At 50.2% G+C, this 17,728-nt stretch overlaps 1 protein-coding gene across 3 annotated transcripts in view, besides 1 other annotated feature; it reads left to right on the forward strand.

Moving 5' to 3' along the window:
- The first annotated feature begins 880 nt into the window (after positions 1–880).
- The window catches only part of LIPG (lipase G, endothelial type), a 37,707-nt gene continuing 20,859 nt past the window's right edge, over positions 881–17,728 (forward strand). The window contains exons 1-5 of one of the 3 annotated variants that reach the window (XM_047437944.1): positions 881–1,292; positions 4,719–4,900; positions 6,844–7,023; positions 8,839–8,950; positions 14,659–14,764. In XM_047437944.1, the coding sequence (XP_047293900.1) occupies positions 1,088–1,292; positions 4,719–4,900; positions 6,844–7,023; positions 8,839–8,950; positions 14,659–14,735 (756 nt within the window). In that variant the 5' untranslated portion in view covers positions 881–1,087 and the 3' untranslated portion in view covers positions 14,736–14,764. The other 2 variants (NM_006033.4, NM_001308006.2) reach the window with 2 other exon arrangements.
- Positions 1,666–2,166: an enhancer, noted in NCBI's record as "H3K4me1 hESC enhancer chr18:47088634-47089134 (GRCh37/hg19 assembly coordinates)". NCBI's record gives its function as "activates a minimal SCP1, AML or CMV promoter by ChIP-STARR-seq in primed H9 embryonic stem cells {active_cell/tissue: H9 hESC(primed)}" and the evidence as "EXISTENCE:reporter gene assay evidence [ECO:0000049][PMID:30033119]".

Consider the following 17,728-nt stretch of genomic DNA (forward strand, 5'->3'; position numbering starts at 1 on the left):
TTCTATACTAAAAAACTAAAGCCCGCCTGAGTCTTGTTAATGAATGATAGCACACGGGAGGGACAAAGCGTGCTCTGCTGGCAGCTGGAGTAACAAAAGTAATGAGGCGAGGTCGGAACAGGATCTGCTGGCTCCGGCTCGGTTTCCTCGCACAGGTCTCTCCAGCTGGATCCTCGACGCTAGGGAGGAAGGGGCGCGGGACTGCTGTGGGGGTTTTCCCTCCCCAGGCAGGGGCAGGACCTGTTCCGGGCGACTGCAGGGTTAAGGGTATCGTCTTAAAGAGCCGGATCCTCCCGGCTGGAGCGAGGCTGGATGGCGGGACGCAGCCTCTCAGCCTCTCGTACCCGCCCTGCGTCCGCAGTGGTTGTTGGCGCAGCCGCCCCGTCGGTGTTCCGGGCTCAGTCCCCGCTCCCCAGCGCCAGACGCAGACTCCGGGCCAAGTTCTCCCTCCGCTCGCTGCTTTCTGCCGCAGGACCCGGATCAATAAAGGGAAGGAGAGCCGGGAGGAAATGATGGAGAACAGAGAGAAAGGAGATGCTTGATTTCACTCGCCAAGGAGTGAGTGCTCATCGGCAGACACTGGGCTCTGGCCACGCGTCTTAGACTCCAAATCTCGGCTCACTGGTCCCTTTGAGGAGGTCGCCTGGTGTTCCCGTAGCCCTCCACCCCACCGTAGGAGAGCGCCTGCCACGAGCTCCGCGCCTCGCTAAGTGCTTTGCTACGTGAACTCTTAGTTTTCCCAACATCCCTAAGCCGCCGATACATTATCACCCACGTATTGCGGACGAGAGAACCGCCTCGGAGAAGCTGGCTGGCTCGCTTGGAGTTTTGCAGCTAGTGGCGGAGCGAGCATTCCGAGCAGGTACTGTGCGATCCTCCAGCGCCGGCCGCAGCTCACAGCCCCTTAGCTCCGCCGGGTTATTGTGCGGCCGCGCCTTCTGCACCTGTTGCGGCCCTCGCTAGGCGGGAAGGGAGGGAGAAGAGGAGGACAAAGGGGATGACCAGGTGGCTCTCCCCCGACGGACTCCCGGCCCAGGGAGCGGATAGACCACTCCCAGAGAGAGTGTGGCTTTGAGCCTTGGAGAGGATGCTCTCCTTCTCCAGGGATCGCCTCCCCAGCGGACGCAGAGTTTCAGGGAAATGTCCGCCTCCGCCACTTGGGATGGCAGTGGGGAGAGGAGGATCTGGGTGTCCGGAGGAGGGCAGTGGGAGAAAGCTGGAGCTGCTGGAGTCGCAGCTGCCTGCGGAGCGGGCCCGGGAGGAAGCGGGGCCGAGCGTGCGGCGTCCACGCGGTGAGTGTGCAGCGCTTTCATTCAAACTTTCTCCAGTCTCGGTTCCGGCGTCAGCAAGGTGTGACCAATCAGAGCCCAGAGACGGGAATAAATTATGCAAATCACCATCTGGCGATGGGTCAGATGACTCCCATACTTTTAAAAACTACCTCTATAGGAGCGTGACAGCAGCGAGTCCTTGCCTCCCGGCGGCTCAGGACGAGGGCAGATCTCGTTCTGGGGCAAGCCGTTGACACTCGCTCCCTGCCACCGCCCGGGCTCCGTGCCGCCAAGTTTTCATTTTCCACCTTCTCTGCCTCCAGTCCCCCAGCCCCTGGCCGAGAGAAGGGTCTTACCGGCCGGGATTGCTGGAAACACCAAGAGGTGGTTTTTGTTTTTTAAAACTTCTGTTTCTTGGGAGGGGGTGTGGCGGGGCAGGATGAGCAACTCCGTTCCTCTGCTCTGTTTCTGGAGCCTCTGCTATTGCTTTGCTGCGGGGAGCCCCGTACCTTTTGGTCCAGAGGGACGGCTGGAAGGTAACGTGAATTTGTTTTTATTCCCCCCAGCCACTTCTCTGTGCTGGGTCCCCTCTGTCTTGCTGATTCTTCAAACCCTCCTTGTTCCTATGAAATTCTTCCTTTCCCACTGCGCTGCCCATTCTCTCCTCCAATCCACCTTGGAGTCCACCTGTCTCTCTGCTGGTCTGATGGGGGCATTCCCGGCAAGTCATGCAAAAGGCAAAGGCTGGCAGGGTGCGCTGGCTCTTGCCAGCCCTCCCACCCCCACCTCCTTCCCTTATACGGCTCCCTAAGCCAGTGCTGGTGCTGTCCAGCCAGCCGAGCGGCCTGGCAGCAGCTCTGAAACCTTGTCCTCATGCCTGAACCTGGAGGTTTGAGAGGCAAGAAGGCTGTCAGAGCTGTGTCTCCTGGAGCTGCCTTTTAATCTTGGTGTAGGTGTCTTGAAAGTTCAGGTGGCAGGGTAGCTGGCTTTGGTTTGATTCGTGCTTGCAGGGAGCGTCTGGTGGGTCGCTTGTGCTTAGAAGCTGCCGGGCCTATTCCCCCAGGTTGCCAGCCTTTTCCTCTTCAACACTCTTGTGCTCCCCCGACTCTTCCTCTTCCCACTCCTCCTCCCTTTCCTCCTCCTGGCTTTTAGCTTCTCTTCCTCTTGGGTTCTGTATGGCAGCCTTTGCCAGTGGAGGCAGCTTGCCCTGGGGGAGCCAGAGTCAGTCAGCTCTGGGGGAGTCAGAATCAGAGTGAGAACTAAGTCAGCTGATAAGCAGTGGAGGGCTGGGGAGCCTCTAAACTGAACCCCATCATCTCATCTTCTAGTCTGCTGAGGTTGTGCCAAATGGTCTGTGTGGGCTTGTGTATGTGTGGGAGGGTTACTGTGAATGAATGGAAAGCCTTGCTTTACTCAACATGTTTCCAACTCTGGTGCTAACTAGAAGCATTGCCTAGGGCAGGTCTCATCTCTGGCTCCTCACCTGTAAAATGCTAAAGTTCCTTCTAACTTCTGTGTTCTGGGCCTCTGAGTATGTGTGAGTCATTTCCTTCATTGCAAAAAGTATTTACTGCATACCTACTTAGTGTCAGACACTATTCTGGGAGCAGGGGAGAGAGCAGTGGACAAAATAGATGGCAATCTGTGCCCTTGTGACACTTACATTTCAGTGGTGGGAAGACAGACAGTGCACTGATTAAAGTATCAGTGGTGCTCAGTATTATGGAGAAAAATCAAGCAGAGGAGGAAGGTGGGGCATGTTGGTGGGGGAAGGTGGTGCGATTTTATGATGTGGTCAGGGAAGGCCTTTCTGGAGAAGTTGACCATTGAGCAAAGAGCTGAAGGGGGTGAGAGAAGGAGCCATGAGGACATCTGGGTGAGGAACAATCAGAAAGTCCCAGAGGCTGAAGTGACCCAGGCCAAAAGTAGTAGGAATGTACCTAGAGAACTTTGGGGTCAGAGCAGGTCAGACTCTAAGAGGAAGAGTCTTTGTCCATATGTGGGTTTATCCGCAGATCTGTCTCAGGAATCCAGGAGACTTCTTTTCTCCTAGGTTTCCCCATCTGGCCTCTGCATGAGTGGCTATCTGGGTAGAAGGTGGGGAGTTGTCGAACTCATTATGTCCGTGGTTCAAATTTCTGCTGGTTGGGGCTTTTGTTCATTACTTTCATGACGGTTAACCTGACTTCCGCTCATGTGCATTCAGCAGCATTTTCTGGAACCTTATCCCTCTTACATCTGCTGCATTCTTCCCCCTCTCTCCCTCCTTTCCCCTCCGCCCTCTCCACCACTATATCTCTTTCCTTTTGGTATCTTCTTCCTTTTGCTTCTTAACTCTGAGATAAATTAACTCCAAGATGGTCATTTGGCATCTTTCCCTGCTGGGTGATAGGAGAGTTTGATACTCTCACTTTCTAGCCAGTTATCCAGTGATGCATCCCAGGATGGCTGAAAGAGTGCTGGGTGGGGTCCATTTATGACTTTCTGAAACGGTGTCATGATGACAGCACCTACTTAGTGTTAAGCCACAGTGGCCATCAGTGACATGAGCTGCACTTTGGGAGCAGGGCCGTCTCCTAGGTGGCACTGTGCATGAGCAGTGAAGCTGGAAGGGGGGATTTTTGTTGCTTTTAGGAGTTTCTCCATGGCTTTAGTCATTTACTTAACAAACCAGATGAATGCCTGGCACATGCCATCACTAGAAAGGGCACTGAGGATGCCTGAGTTTCCCTAGATGGGAACACTAGGGGAAGCCTATTTTCCAGCAGGTCAACAGCCTCTTGCCTCCAATTCCAAAATCCACAAACTCTCAAAATTGGAAAATGTGTTTGGTAACTTGTTTGGCAGCAAGACCTGGCCTTACCTGATCTGAACTTATTTGGCAGCAAAAACCTGGCCTGAGATAACAGGAGGCTATTGGTTATCTTTATATTTGCCCTCAAATGTGAGTGGTTATGTATTCTCTGCAGAAATATTAGGATGTTTGATCCAGGGGGAATAGCCCAGGCCCCACTGGCAGCATTATATAATATATGGTGTATGCTCCATGATGCCTTTCTAAAATCTGAAAACTTCTAAATTCTGAAACTCACCTGGTCCCAAGCATTTCAGAAAAAGAACTGAGAACCTGTACTCTAAAAGTAGGAAGGAAGTAGAACTCCTTTTGATAGGAAAGAAGAGGGAAATGCAAGAGAGAGATCTATTTATTTCAGAGTGACAGTAATTAATACTAGTGACTAATTAATACTCTTTAAGTATAAATGAGATGTCCTTTTTTATAAAATGTTCACAGTTTTTCTGGGAGGTGAAAAGGGAACATTCAGCAGATGTAAAAACCGAAACCCAGATGGCTTAAGCAAATTGCTCACGATTGAACTAGAATCAGACCCCAGGTCTCTCACTCCGCAAGTCTGCTAGATGCACCCACGCTCTGTTCTGTCTCCCCAGATAAGCTCCACAAACCCAAAGCTACACAGACTGAGGTCAAACCATCTGTGAGGTTTAACCTCCGCACCTCCAAGGACCCAGAGCATGAAGGATGCTACCTCTCCGTCGGCCACAGCCAGCCCTTAGAAGACTGCAGTTTCAACATGACAGCTAAAACCTTTTTCATCATTCACGGATGGACGGTGAGCCCGGGGAGGGAGCTCTGCGGCTTTATATAAGATTTGATTCCCTTTGTTTTGGTCAATTAGAAAGAATTCTGGTGTTTCCAGATTCCAAACCCTCTTCCCCCCTTTCCTTGTGGGCTGCTTGTATTTCAGACAGCTGTGAAGAATGTAACGGGCATTCACTAAGGGGCAATCTGGACTCCAGCAGGGTGGTATTAATGATGGCATACAACGGGCTTTCAGAAAGTGGCTCTCCTGAGGGCAGCAGCCCAGCTCCACTGGCTCTTAAGGACCCCTCTAATTACACTTAATTACGCTGGTCAACCACTGCCTGGAGGGGGCTGTCCTGCCGTGAGAGCTGAGCTTAACTAAAGCAACTTGACTGGCTCTGAGAACCTATGAGTAGCCAGCTGGCCTGGATTGCTGACTGCCCTTGGCATAGTGCCCTCCTGTTTGCATAGAGATAGCCCCGTTTAAAGGCACTGGGGCTCTTTATGTGCCCTAGCTGAGCAATTCACATTGAAAAGCCCATGACAAACTTCAACAAAAAAGGGCTTTAGTGCTCAGCTTCAGAAGCTTTTGACCAGCCAGGAATTTATTCATTCATATAATGACAGTCTGTAGGGAAATGGCACTATTAAGTGAGCAGATTTCTGCCTGGGCTAATTGGAAGGGGACAGTCCTCCTCTTAATGATGAGAAATTCATATCTGTTACATGCTTTTGGGGTCTTTAAATCTGTCATCCATGGTTGAGGTCAGGGGCAGGAGAGGGTAGGTGCCTGCCTACCTAGTTGAATGAAGAGATGATTAAGAGCCTGTCTAACCCTGCTCATCACACAACCTACAATCAGAATCATATGTGTGAATCTTTTTAAGGCCCCCTGTCAAAATGCAAATACAAGCTGCCTGCGACTTACAAGTAGGTTGCATTCCAGAAAGTTCTTTTGTAATCTGTTTGGAACTTGGAACAGCAGTTTCCCACAGAAGCAAGATTGTAAATGGTGTTTGGGTTCCCAGGCTAGGCACAGAAAATCTATCTATTTGATAATGTGCTTGTGGATAGGTTTACAACTGGACCTAGTCACCATTTATAACTTTGTTTCTGTGGAAAAATACATTCTGAGTTGTAATTTGGGATTCCGGGGACAGATTTTCCCTACTCTGGGGTCAAGAGGGATGGCAGAGATGGGTTGTGGGAAGGGGTCATTTGTTAACTCTGCATTCACCTAGGAGACAGCATCTCCCTGCGTCTCTAAGAGAGAAGCAATTTTCCAGGGCAACCCTCCCTAGCTGCCTTTGAAGGATGGACCAGGCCACTTGCCTGCCTGTAACAGGGACTCAGACCAGCCTCATGCCAGTATCACCCTTAACACGTATCTCATAGTGGCCCTAACAGACAGTGGGGCAACAGTATAGGACATTAGCTAGGAAAGTTTTGATGGGAAATACTGGGGATGTAAGGAGCAATGGAAGACAAATACCTGCGTAGTGATTCTGCCTGTGCTGGTCCTGCTCATGTGCAAATGTTTGGTCCCTGAGCAGCCAATGTGCAGATTCTAAAATTGTCTGGGGGCACTGGGCATGGTGGCTCACGCCTATAATCCCAGCACTCTGGAAGGCCTAGGTGGGAAGATCGCTTGAGCCCAGGAGTTCAAGACCAGCCTGGGCAACATAGTGAGACCCTGTTGCTGCAAAAAGTTTAAAAATTACCCAGGCATGGTGGCATATGCCTGTAACCCAGTCACTCTGGAGGCTGAGGTGGGAGGATCACCTCAGCTCAGGAGTTGGAGGCTATCATGAGCTGAGATTGTTGTCAGTGCACTCCAGCCTGGGCAACAGAGTGAGACCCTGAGTCAAAAAAAAAAAATTAATTGGGAAGAGGGTCATATAGAAAGGAATTCCATATTTTTTAGGATTTCTGAAACCAAGAATAAAAAACAACTTCCACTTTTCTCTGCAGATGAGCGGTATCTTTGAAAACTGGCTGCACAAACTCGTGTCAGCCCTGCACACAAGAGAGAAAGACGCCAATGTAGTTGTGGTTGACTGGCTCCCCCTGGCCCACCAGCTTTACACGGATGCGGTCAATAATACCAGGGTGGTGGGACACAGCATTGCCAGGATGCTCGACTGGCTGCAGGTACTGGGGGATGAGAGGGAGTCTCCTGTCACCAGCAGGATCTCAAACCCAATCTTCTTAAGAAATGCAGGTCATGCATCTGTTGCCATGAACTTCTGGAGTCTGATAAAAATCTTTGAGATTAAAAGTTTTATTGAATTAAGTATTGTTTGGAATACTTGAAAGCTGGGACTTTTTGAGAGCCTTTTAATTATTGATAGATCTCTGGATTTTTCCTGTTACTTAATTTGCTGAAAATTGGCCTTATGGGTTGTTTCTTCCTGATCTTAGAAACAGATGCCCTTAGGTTGGTTGGGGATGGCCAGGAACCAGGCCAGGCTTGTGATCTGAAATTCCTACAAAGACTGCTCTTGTCTCTGAAGCATGGCTGTGCTGAGGGTGGGGAGGGGGTTATTTCAAAAATGCAGCCTAATATCTCTTTTCTTTGAGATGGAGTCTTGTTTTGTTGCCCAGGCTGGAGTACAGTGGTGTGATCTTGGTTCACTGCAACCTCCACCTCCCAGGTTCAAGCGATTCTCCTGCCTCAGCCTCCCGAGTAACTGAAACTACAGGCCTGTGTCACCATGCCCAGCTAATTTTTTTGTATTTTTAGTAGAGATGGGATTTCGCTGTGTTAGCCAGGATGGTCTTGATCTCCTGACCTCATGATCTGCCTGCCTAGGCCTCCCAAAGTACTGGGATTACAGGCATGAGCCACCGTGCCCAGCCTGCCTGATACCTCTTTTATAATATGAAGTGTGGAAAACAGATCTTGAAGTCTTATATTTACTTTTTTTTTTGAGACAGAGTCTCGCTGTCACCCAGGCTGGAGTGCAGTGCCATGATCTTGGCTCACTGCAACCTCTACCTCCTGGGTTCAAGCAATTCTCCTGCCTTAGACTCCCAAGTAGCTGGTTTTACAGGTGTGAGCCACCATGCCCAATTAATTTTTGTATTTTTAGTAGAGATGGGGTTTCACCATGTTGGCCAGACTAGTTTCTAACTCCTGACCTCAGGTGATCTGCCTGCCTCGGCCTCCCAAAGTGCTGGGATTAGAGACGTGAGCCACCGCACCCAGCCTATTTACTTTTAATAGGTTAATAATCTGCCTGAGATCAGTGGATTTAGCTGGGAGAAGGCAGGGCAGGGTACACTGTCAAAGCGGCACCATTATCTGGGCAATTCCGGCCTGGCCTTCCTTGTTCCCATGGAATGGGATGAATTCTGGCAGAATTCTGGTCAGGATTCTCGAGCAGTCCCTCTGTCCTCTACCTAAGCTCTTCTATAGAGTTTGGTTTCCGAGCCATGGGGTTACCTCCTTACCCCCCAGATGAGTGCTCTGACAGGGGACAATGCGTCAAGTCTGGGGTCCCACATGGGCTTGTGAGGAGGAGGTTGGCAGCTCCTGGGGCTGGGTGGAGGTCAGGCCTTAGAGGGCAGGCAGAGGGCATTCTGCTGAGGGCTGTGGTTGGCACTGCAGTCTCCAGTGAGTACGGCAGCTTTGACCTCCTCACCATCACCCTCCCCTCTCTTAGATACTGCCAGAAAGAACAGGAAATGTGTAGGGAACAGCCACATATGCAGCCTCCAGTCATACCCTCCACCCTGTCCCCACACTTGGCATTTGCAGTGCCACCAAGTCCTTTTGGCCTCCCCTAAGCTGGCTGTGACCCACACATGTAGCATCACCAGCAAAGCCAGTGGGGCCCTGGGGAGTCTCTGTGCCCACGGCCCCTGCATCTCCTCCTGCTCCGTGACTGAGTTGTTGAACTGCTGGTGATTCTGGGGGCTCTGGACCCTGCTCTTCTGCTCACATACTTTGGTGACTTTCTATAGGAGAAGGACGATTTTTCTCTCGGGAATGTCCACTTGATCGGCTACAGCCTCGGAGCGCACGTGGCCGGGTATGCAGGCAACTTCGTGAAAGGAACGGTGGGCCGAATCACAGGTGAGCTCCACTTCCATCACTAAAGGGCTCCCTCAGCTGCGCTAAGCCGGAATGCTCCCAAATGAGGCAGCAGAGTGAGTCATAGAAAGTTAGCTTTGGAAGGAACCTGGAAAGCATCTAATTCAAAACTTCCCAAGCGTTTTTAGTCACAAGAAACTTTTTTTTTTTTTTCCAAATTGAACTCGCATAGGCCCGCAGTATATGAGACACAGAAAGGGGGGTGCTGTGGGTGAAGTGGGGTGGGTATATGGCGGCTTGTGTTAGCCTTGCCAGTGTGGGCGTTCCCCTTCCCTATAGGCATCTCAGAGTCTCAGAGCACCAGGGAACACAGTTTGAAAACCATAGGCCTGGTCCAATAGGTGAGGAAACAAACACGGAGAGGTGAGACAACTTGCCCAGGGGCAAACAGCTAATAACTCAAGAGCGGAAGCTGGATAGAGCCCTGGCCCCAAAGCTTTTGGGTGTTCCCTTCAGGTCTCCACCCAAGGACTCAGGGGAAAAGAATGAATAGTAGATTTTAGTTTGAATTCTGCCTCTGATTTCTATCTTGTCTCCCAATAGCCTCTTTCCCATGTTAAGGTAGCATATTTATGAATGAGAGCTACCAATTTGGAAAGGGTGGTTCAACTTTGTAATAAAAGGAACCTTTCTGATATTGGTCCCCAGGGGGTCAACAGAAAATTGAATTTTCCATGTTGAAAACTGCATCTTAGTGAGCTTTTAACATGAGAGTTTGGATTAAATCATTTAATGATTGTGAAAAGTGTAAAAGGTTTTCTTTCTCATTTTTGGGCCCCTCAAGTATATACACAGAGATTCCTCTATGCTACAATTAATGGTAAATTTGTTGCCCTGAACTTCTATCCTTCTTCCAGCATTATTTTATTTAAAATTACCCCTAGCTTCCCCCTTACTCCCAAGATTCTAAGGGTGATCACCTAGAAGGATAGATCTGAACAATTCCTTTCCCTGCAGTGTTTTCATTTTAAAACAAAACTCAGGCTGGGTGTGGTGGCTCACACCTATAATCCCAGCACTTTGGGAGGCCGAGGTGGGTGGATCACGAGGTCAGGAGTTCAAGACCAGCCTGGCCAACATGATGAAACACTGTCTCTACTAAAAATACAAAAATTAGCCAGCTGTGGTGGCGGGTGCCTGTAATCCCAGCTACTTGGGAGGCTGAGGCAGGAGAATCGCTTGAACCAAGGAGGTAGAGGTTGCAGTGAGCCGAGATTGTGCCACTGCACTCCAGCCTGGGTGACAGAGCAAGACTCCGTCTCAAAAAACAAAACAAAACTCAGGTAGAAGAGAGTCCTTAGCTAAATAACGATTTGGTAAAGGTAGAATTTCAGATTTCAGTGACAAGCTGATATGGTAGAATTTTAAAAAGAATATTTGTGAAGTTTTCCTGGCTCTCCTGAATCCTGTCCCTGGGCTTGAGTCTAGTATGTGCGTGCACACACATGAGCATGCATGCACACACATGCCTGTTGATCCAATGACTTGATTCATCCCAGCTTGAGAGCTTTATTTTTGATTTCCAAGACTGTGGGGCTTGAGCTGCCCAAAGCGGGCTATGATTGTGTGGCCACCCATGACTGCTCATTAACCCCTTGCTGGTGCAAAGCAGTTTGACTGGAAGCCACTCGGGTTCCATTGTCTGAGCGCCTCTTCCTAGCCCCTGAATGAGAGGTGTGATGTTTCAGATCCAGGCACCTGAGTTCAAATTGTAGCACACACCACAGTCCAGGCCCAGAATGTCAGTAACGATGACAAACTGCACATCTTGCCTTTCTCTATTTCTAAATCTGAAATGAGATGGGGCTAGGGAGGGAACTTTCCAGTTCTTTCCCCCTGCCTGTTTGAGTGGCATCTGCTGGGGTGAGGGCTTTTCTCCTGAGGGTGGCAGGAGAGCCAGGCAGAATGCTAATTAGTGCTCTGGGATGTTTGCATGGAGCATGATGCCCACATGCCCTGAGCATGGTCCCTTCCCTCTGGCCTTTCTCTGTAGAGAAGGGGCCTGGCCTCTGTCCAGTTGCCAAGCAGCACCCCTGACACACGCTGTTGTGTATGTCTGATGGGGGAGGCTGCGTCCTCTCCTTTCCCCTTGGTAGACTTCTCATGGACCTGTGGACAAGGTGATCGCAACTGGTAAGAGGACAGATTGAGACTTGCATGGGGTCCTGCGTCCAGTGATGCCACTATGCTAAGGCCACCAGGCAGTCCTTAGCCTGGGCCTTGCAAGGGTATATCTGAACCCCAATCTTGCTTGGACCAGAGGGTGTGGATGGGGGTTTGCTAGAGTTTTACTTTCTTAGGCTTCTGAGAGAAGCCTGTGATACTAGGAAAGAGGTCATATATTTATAGTTGAACCTGTGCCTTGTTTGCTATAATCAGGTAAGCAAGCAGATGAATTTATTCAAGAAATGTGTCCATATGTGCAGGCTAGATGCTAGCTAATGTCAAATACCTCATGTGTGGCCGGGCGTGGCCGGGCGCAGTGGCTCACGCCTGTAACCCCAGCACTTTGGGAGGCCGAGGTGGGTGGATCACCTGAGGTCAGGAGTTCAAGACCAGCCTGGCCAACATGATGAAACCCCATGTCTACTAAAAGTACAAAAATTAGCCGGGCATGGTGGTGGGTGCCTGTAATCCCAGCTACTCAGGAGGCTGAAGCAGGAGAATCTCTTGAACCCAGGATGCGGAGGTTGCAGTGGGCTGAGATTGCGCCACTGCACTCCAGGCTGGGTGACAAGAGTGAGACTCTGTCTCAAAAATAAAAAATAAAAAATAAAAAACAAACAAACAAAAAACACCTCATATATGACAGCTACTCTATGCTATCTCTGAACCACATAGCAACCCTGAACATTCTACGGAGGGGGAAACTAGGACTCAGTGATTAAGTAAAGGGCCCAATATCCTGGGCCCTATAAGTAGCAGAGCTGGGACTCAAACCCATGCTGTCAGATTCCAGATCCCATGCACCTCACTGCTGTGCCATGCTGCCTCTCTTCTGTGGACAGAGATAAAGTAGCCAGGCATGGTAGTGCATGCCTGTAATCCTAGCTACTCGGGATGCTGAGGTGGGAGAATCACCTGAGCCCAGGAGGTGGAGGTTGCAGAGAGCCGAGACTGGGCCACTGCACTCCAGCCTGGGCAACAGAGTGAGACCCTGTCTTAAAAAAAAAAAAAAAAAAAAAAGTAGCCGTTGAACTACAGCAGGCCCTGCCCTGCCGGGCCAGAATGCACAGCCCTGGAAGTTTTACATGTGTGCATGTGTGTGTGCTCCATTTGCTGGACAAAGCAACTTTGGAGGAGTCTATGACTGAATGGAAGAAGCGGCGGAGGTTCTCTATCTCCTCTTTATTTAAGGAGGCAGTTCTCCCTGTCATTCATCCCTAGTTAAAAAAGTTAAATGTGCCACTGTACCCCTGAATCTGTGGGCCACAGATATGTGTCAGGGACAGTCAGAGCAGGGCAGGCAGGCTCTGGCTGGGTAGGTGAAGGCCCAGCCTTGCCTGCCAGCCAGCCTGTGAAACCCCATCAGCTGCCTGCATTCCTCCAGCACAGCCTGGTTTCCATGGCACTGACCGTCTGGTGGGGACCTTTGTTCACACCAAGTAAAGAGCCTCTCTCTTGTATTGATTGCAAAGCAGAATGTTGCTCTCTTTCTCTTTCCTCCAGGGGACATGGTGAGAGGCAGGGAGAGGCCGCTGTGTCAGTACTGCGGTCCTTGCGGCCTCTGAAATGGGTTGTCGTGGGCTGTTCTGGGAGCACACTGCTTTTGTGCCATCTTTCTTTTGGGTCCTGGGCTAGGGATAAACTCTCAAGCAGCCTGGGCTCCCTTTCTGTCTTGGTTGCACATAAAGTTATCTAAATTTGGCTGGGTGCAGTGGCTTATGCCTGTAATCCCAGCTACTCAGGAGGCTGAGGCAGGAGAATCGCTTGAACCCAGGAGGCGGAGGCTGCAGTGAGCCGAGATCGTGCCACTGCACTCCAGCCTGGGTGACAGAGCAAGATTCCAACTCAAAAAAAAAAAAAGAAAAAAAAGTTATCTAAATTTTTGGAAACTATTTAGCGTTTCAGCCTCTACCAGTTCTCATATGAGTAATGAGTTCTGCAAGTTGACCGTCCACTCTAGACGGTAGCTCTGCCTCTTGTTTATCCTGAAACTACCATCTCAAGTCTCCTGATAGGCTCCCTGGTTCTAATGTGCTGTGGTCTGGTGAACACGGTCGTTAACCATGTCCTCCTTTCAGGACTCTTGTTGGTCACATCTCCTCCCAGCCTTGGTGTTTCGAGGCCAGGTTTTCTCAGCCTAGGCAATATTGACATTTGGGGCCAGGTAAGGTTTTGGTGTGGGGTGTGTGTGTGTTGGGATTGACTTGTGCACTGTAGAATGTTTAGCTGTATTCCTGGCCTGGCCCTGCTAGATGCTAGCAACTCTCTCCATCAGAATGGGGGCAATAAAAAGGTCTCCAGGAATTTCCAGATGTCCCCTGGGGGGCAAAGCCACTTGTAGTGGTGAACCACTGTTCCAGCGGCCCTTCCTTCCTGGCACATTTCATCCCTTAACTTTCTCCAGGTCCTTCCTGTGTGTCTGTGGGGCAAAGAGCTGTTCTGGTTGGGATAAATCTGGTTCCCATAATCACTTGGGCTTGGTAATAGTAGCTAATACTGACAGGCACTCAGTCTCTTAAGATCTCACGTGGACTTTGAATTAAGGTATAAATTCAGGTTCCATTTTATAAATGATAATGAAACACAGGGAAGTTTTTCAATATTTGGCCCACAGAATACCTACTTTTAGGATCATCCGGGGAATAAATATCTATTTCTATGTGCCATAATTCATATCTACCCACTAGGAGTTCAGGCACTTGGGAATCTGCATTTTATACTTTGCAAGTTCTCTTTTGGAATGGTTTTACATTAATGCAGTTTTCAAATCAAAAGATGGTGAAAGTCTCTCTTACTGCTCTGCTACCTGTCCGTTTCCCTTACCCACTCTCTCCCCCAACGCACACGCATACAGGTAACTAGTTGCTTGTGTGTCCTTCCAGATTTTTTTGTAGCTGTATGGTGGAATTTAAATTTAACAAGCTCCCAATTTCAAATATGAGAACCAGTGCTCTCAACAGTGCTGCTTGCCTGCTCAACACAAAATGTTTGGAGGCGGAAAGGTTTTCTCACGGTGGCTGCAAAATAGAGGAATTCTGGAGGCCTGATGTATGGATTCTCAGTGTATTGGGTGTCCTCTTCTCTCTCACCATTCCACCCCTGGGCCTGATTAAAGGAAGAAGAATAAATTCAGATACAAATAGCTCCGTTTGGGGAGACTGGATTCTCCTTCCAGAAGGATGTAGGCAGCTTAGTTATTCTGTAAAAATTCTGCTACAATTAAGGACATGAAAGATGCTCAGTGGCAGAATGAATGGGACAAATGGCTTAGTTTCAGGCAGTCTGAGTTCTTTCTAGAACTGCTTCAGTTTTAACAGGAGCAGTTCCTTGGAGCTGTGTGGCAGCGAAACTTGTGGCTAGTTGACGGGGTTTGGCTGAGGTGACGGGATACATGAAGGCTTCAGAAGAAAGTATAAATTCCATAACAGTAGGATTTAATTTCTGCAATGATGTCTTGGGGTCAACTGCATATGGAAATGGGTTTCTTATTTTCTTCCATGCTTTCCATGTCTTGATTCTCCCAGCTGGTCTCAGAAGTCATCTTCATTCTGCACACTCAGACTTAACTTGTAATCAGGACTCACTGACCAGGTGCACCTGACACCACAGCTGTTTTGGGGCCTCCTTCTGCTGCAGGTTTGGATCCTGCCGGGCCCATGTTTGAAGGGGCCGACATCCACAAGAGGCTCTCTCCGGACGATGCAGATTTTGTGGATGTCCTCCACACCTACACGCGTTCCTTCGGCTTGAGCATTGGTATTCAGATGCCTGTGGGCCACATTGACATCTACCCCAATGGGGGTGACTTCCAGCCAGGCTGTGGACTCAACGATGTCTTGGGATCAATTGCATATGGAAGTGAGTTCCCTCTTTTCTGCTTTGTGTTTGACTCAGTTTATTCCATCTCCTTCTAAATCAGCCAGAGCCTTTAGCACTGCAGGCACTATTTATTCATTATTCTCACCTCCCACCACAGAGGCCTCCAATGCTGTATTTAATATTTCTCATTGTTCCCCAAGACTAACCAACCCAGTGGTTCCTGCTTTGCTTTCTCACGCTTTAAGGTCACAGTTGTTATTGATTAATTTCTTTTCTTTTCTTTTTCTTTCTTTTTTTTTTTTTTGAGAGGGAGTTTTGCTCTTGTTGCCCAGGTTAGAGTGCAATGGTGCAATCTCGGCTCACTGCAACCTCCACCTCCCTGGTTCAAGCGATTCTCCTGACTCAGCCTCCTGAGTAGCTGGGACTACAGGCACGTGCCACCATGCCTGGCTAATTTTGTATCTTTAGTAGAGATGGGTTTTCACCATGTTGGCCAGGCTGGTTTTAAACTCTTGACCTCAAGTAATCCACCTGCCTCGGCCTCCCAAAGTGCTGAGATTACAGGTGTGAGCCACCGCACCCGGCTGATTAATTTCTTTTTATGACAAAAGGAATACACACATTTGTTGAACAAGAAATCAAGCATTATAGACTTGAATAAAGCAAAAGTGCGCTCCCACTCCCACCCCTACTTCCACTCTTCAGATGTAGCCAGTATGAATGCTTTTGTGTGTATCCTTCTAGTCTTTTTTCTTTGCAAATTATTTGCATGCATATTTTTCCCCCAAATCACATTGTTCTGCAACTTTATTTTTATTTTAATTTTTTTCAACTTTCTTTTTTTTCCTGTAATAATATATTATGGATATTCTTTTTCTTTTCTTTTTTTAAAAGACAGAATCTTGCTTTTTTTTTTTTTTTTTTTTTTTTTTTGAGACGGAGTTTTGCTGTTGTTGCCCAGGCTGGAGTTCAGTAGTGCGATCTCAGCTCACTACAACTTCTGCCTCCCAGATTCAAGCAATTCTCCTGTCTCAGCCCCAGTAGCTGGGATTACAGGCCCCCACCACCATGCCATCCCCGGCTAATTTTTTGTATTTTTAGTAGAGATGGGGTTTCACCATGTTAGCCAGGCTGGTCTCAAACTCCTGACCTCAGGTGATCCATCTGCCTCGGCCTCCCAAAGTGCTGGGATTACAGGTGTGAGCCACTGCACCCAGCCAGAAGCTTGCTATGTTGCCCAAGCTGGAGTGCAGTGGCTATTCACAGCTTACTACAGCCTTGAACTCCTGGGCTCAAGCTATCCCCCTGCCTCAGCCTCCCAAATAGCTGAGACTACAGACATGTGCCACTGCATCTTGCTGTTATGGATATTCTTAAATATCAGAGCACACAGATTTACTAACATTATTTTTACAGGCTGTGTAATATTCCATAGCATGGATACACTCTATTTTATTTTATTTTTTATTTATTTATTTTTTTTTTATTGATAATTCTTGGGTGTTTCTCACAGAGGGGGATTTGGCAGGGTCATGGGACAATAGTGGAGGGAAGGTCAGCAGATAAACAAGTGAACAAAGGTCTCTGGTTTTCCTAGGCAGAGGACCCTGTGGCCTTCCGCAGTGTTTGTGTCCCTGATTACTTGAGATTAGGGATTGGTGATGACTCTTAACGAGCATGCTGCCTTCAAGCATCTGTTTAACAAAGCACATCTTGCACCGCCCTTAATCCATTTAACCCTGAGTGGACACAGCACATGTTTCAGAGAGCACAGGGTTGGGGGTAAGGTCACAGATCAACAGGATCCCAAGGCAGAAGAATCTTTCTTAGTGCAGAACAAAATGAAAAGTCTCCCATGTCTACTTCTTTCTACACAGACACGGCAACCATCCGATTTCTCAATCTTTTCCCCACCTTTCCCGCCTTTCTATTCCACAAAGCCGCCATTGTCATCCTGGCCCGTTCTCAATGAGCTGCTGGGCACACCTCCCAGACGGGGTGGTGGCCGGGCAGAGGGGCTCCTCACTTCCCAGTAGGGGCGGCCGGGCAGAGGCACCCCTCACCTCCCGGACGGGGCGGCTGGCCGGGCAGGGGGCTGACCCCCCCACCTCCCTCCCGGACGGCACGGCTGGCCAGGCGGGGGGCTGACCCCCCAACCTCCCTCCCGGATGGCACGGCTGGCCGGGCGGGGGGGCTGACCCCCCCACCTCCCTCCCGGATGGGGCGGCTGGCCAGGCGGGGGGCTGACCCCCCCACCTCCCTCCCGGACGGGGCGGCTGGCCGGGTGGGGGGGCTGACCCCCCCATCTCCCTCCCAGACGGGGTGGCTGGCCGGGCTGAGGGGCTCCTCACTTCCCAGTAGGGGTGGGCGGGCAGAGGCGCCCCTCACCTCCTGGACGGGGCGGCTGGCCGGGCAGGGGGCTGACCCCCCCACCTCCCTCCCGGACGGCACGGCTGGCCAGGCGGGGGGCTGACCCCCCCACCTCCCTCCCGGATGGCACGGCTGGCCGGGCGGGGGGGCTGGCCCCCCACCTCCCTCCCGGATGGGGCGGCTGGCCGGGCGGGGGGCTGACCCCCCCCCACCTCCCTCCCGGACGGGGTGGCTGCTGGGCGGAGACGCTCCTCACCTCCCAGATGGGGTGGCTGCCGGGCGGAGAGGCTCCTCACTTCTCAGACGGGGCGGCTGCCGGGCGGAGGGGCTCCTCACTTCTCAGACGGGGTGGTTGCCAGGCAGAGGGTCTCCTCACTTCTCAGACGGGGCAGCCGGGCAGAGACG

This window comes from Homo sapiens, chromosome 18, assembly GCF_000001405.40.
Source record: "Homo sapiens chromosome 18, GRCh38.p14 Primary Assembly".
NCBI lineage: Eukaryota > Metazoa > Chordata > Mammalia > Primates > Hominidae > Homo > Homo sapiens.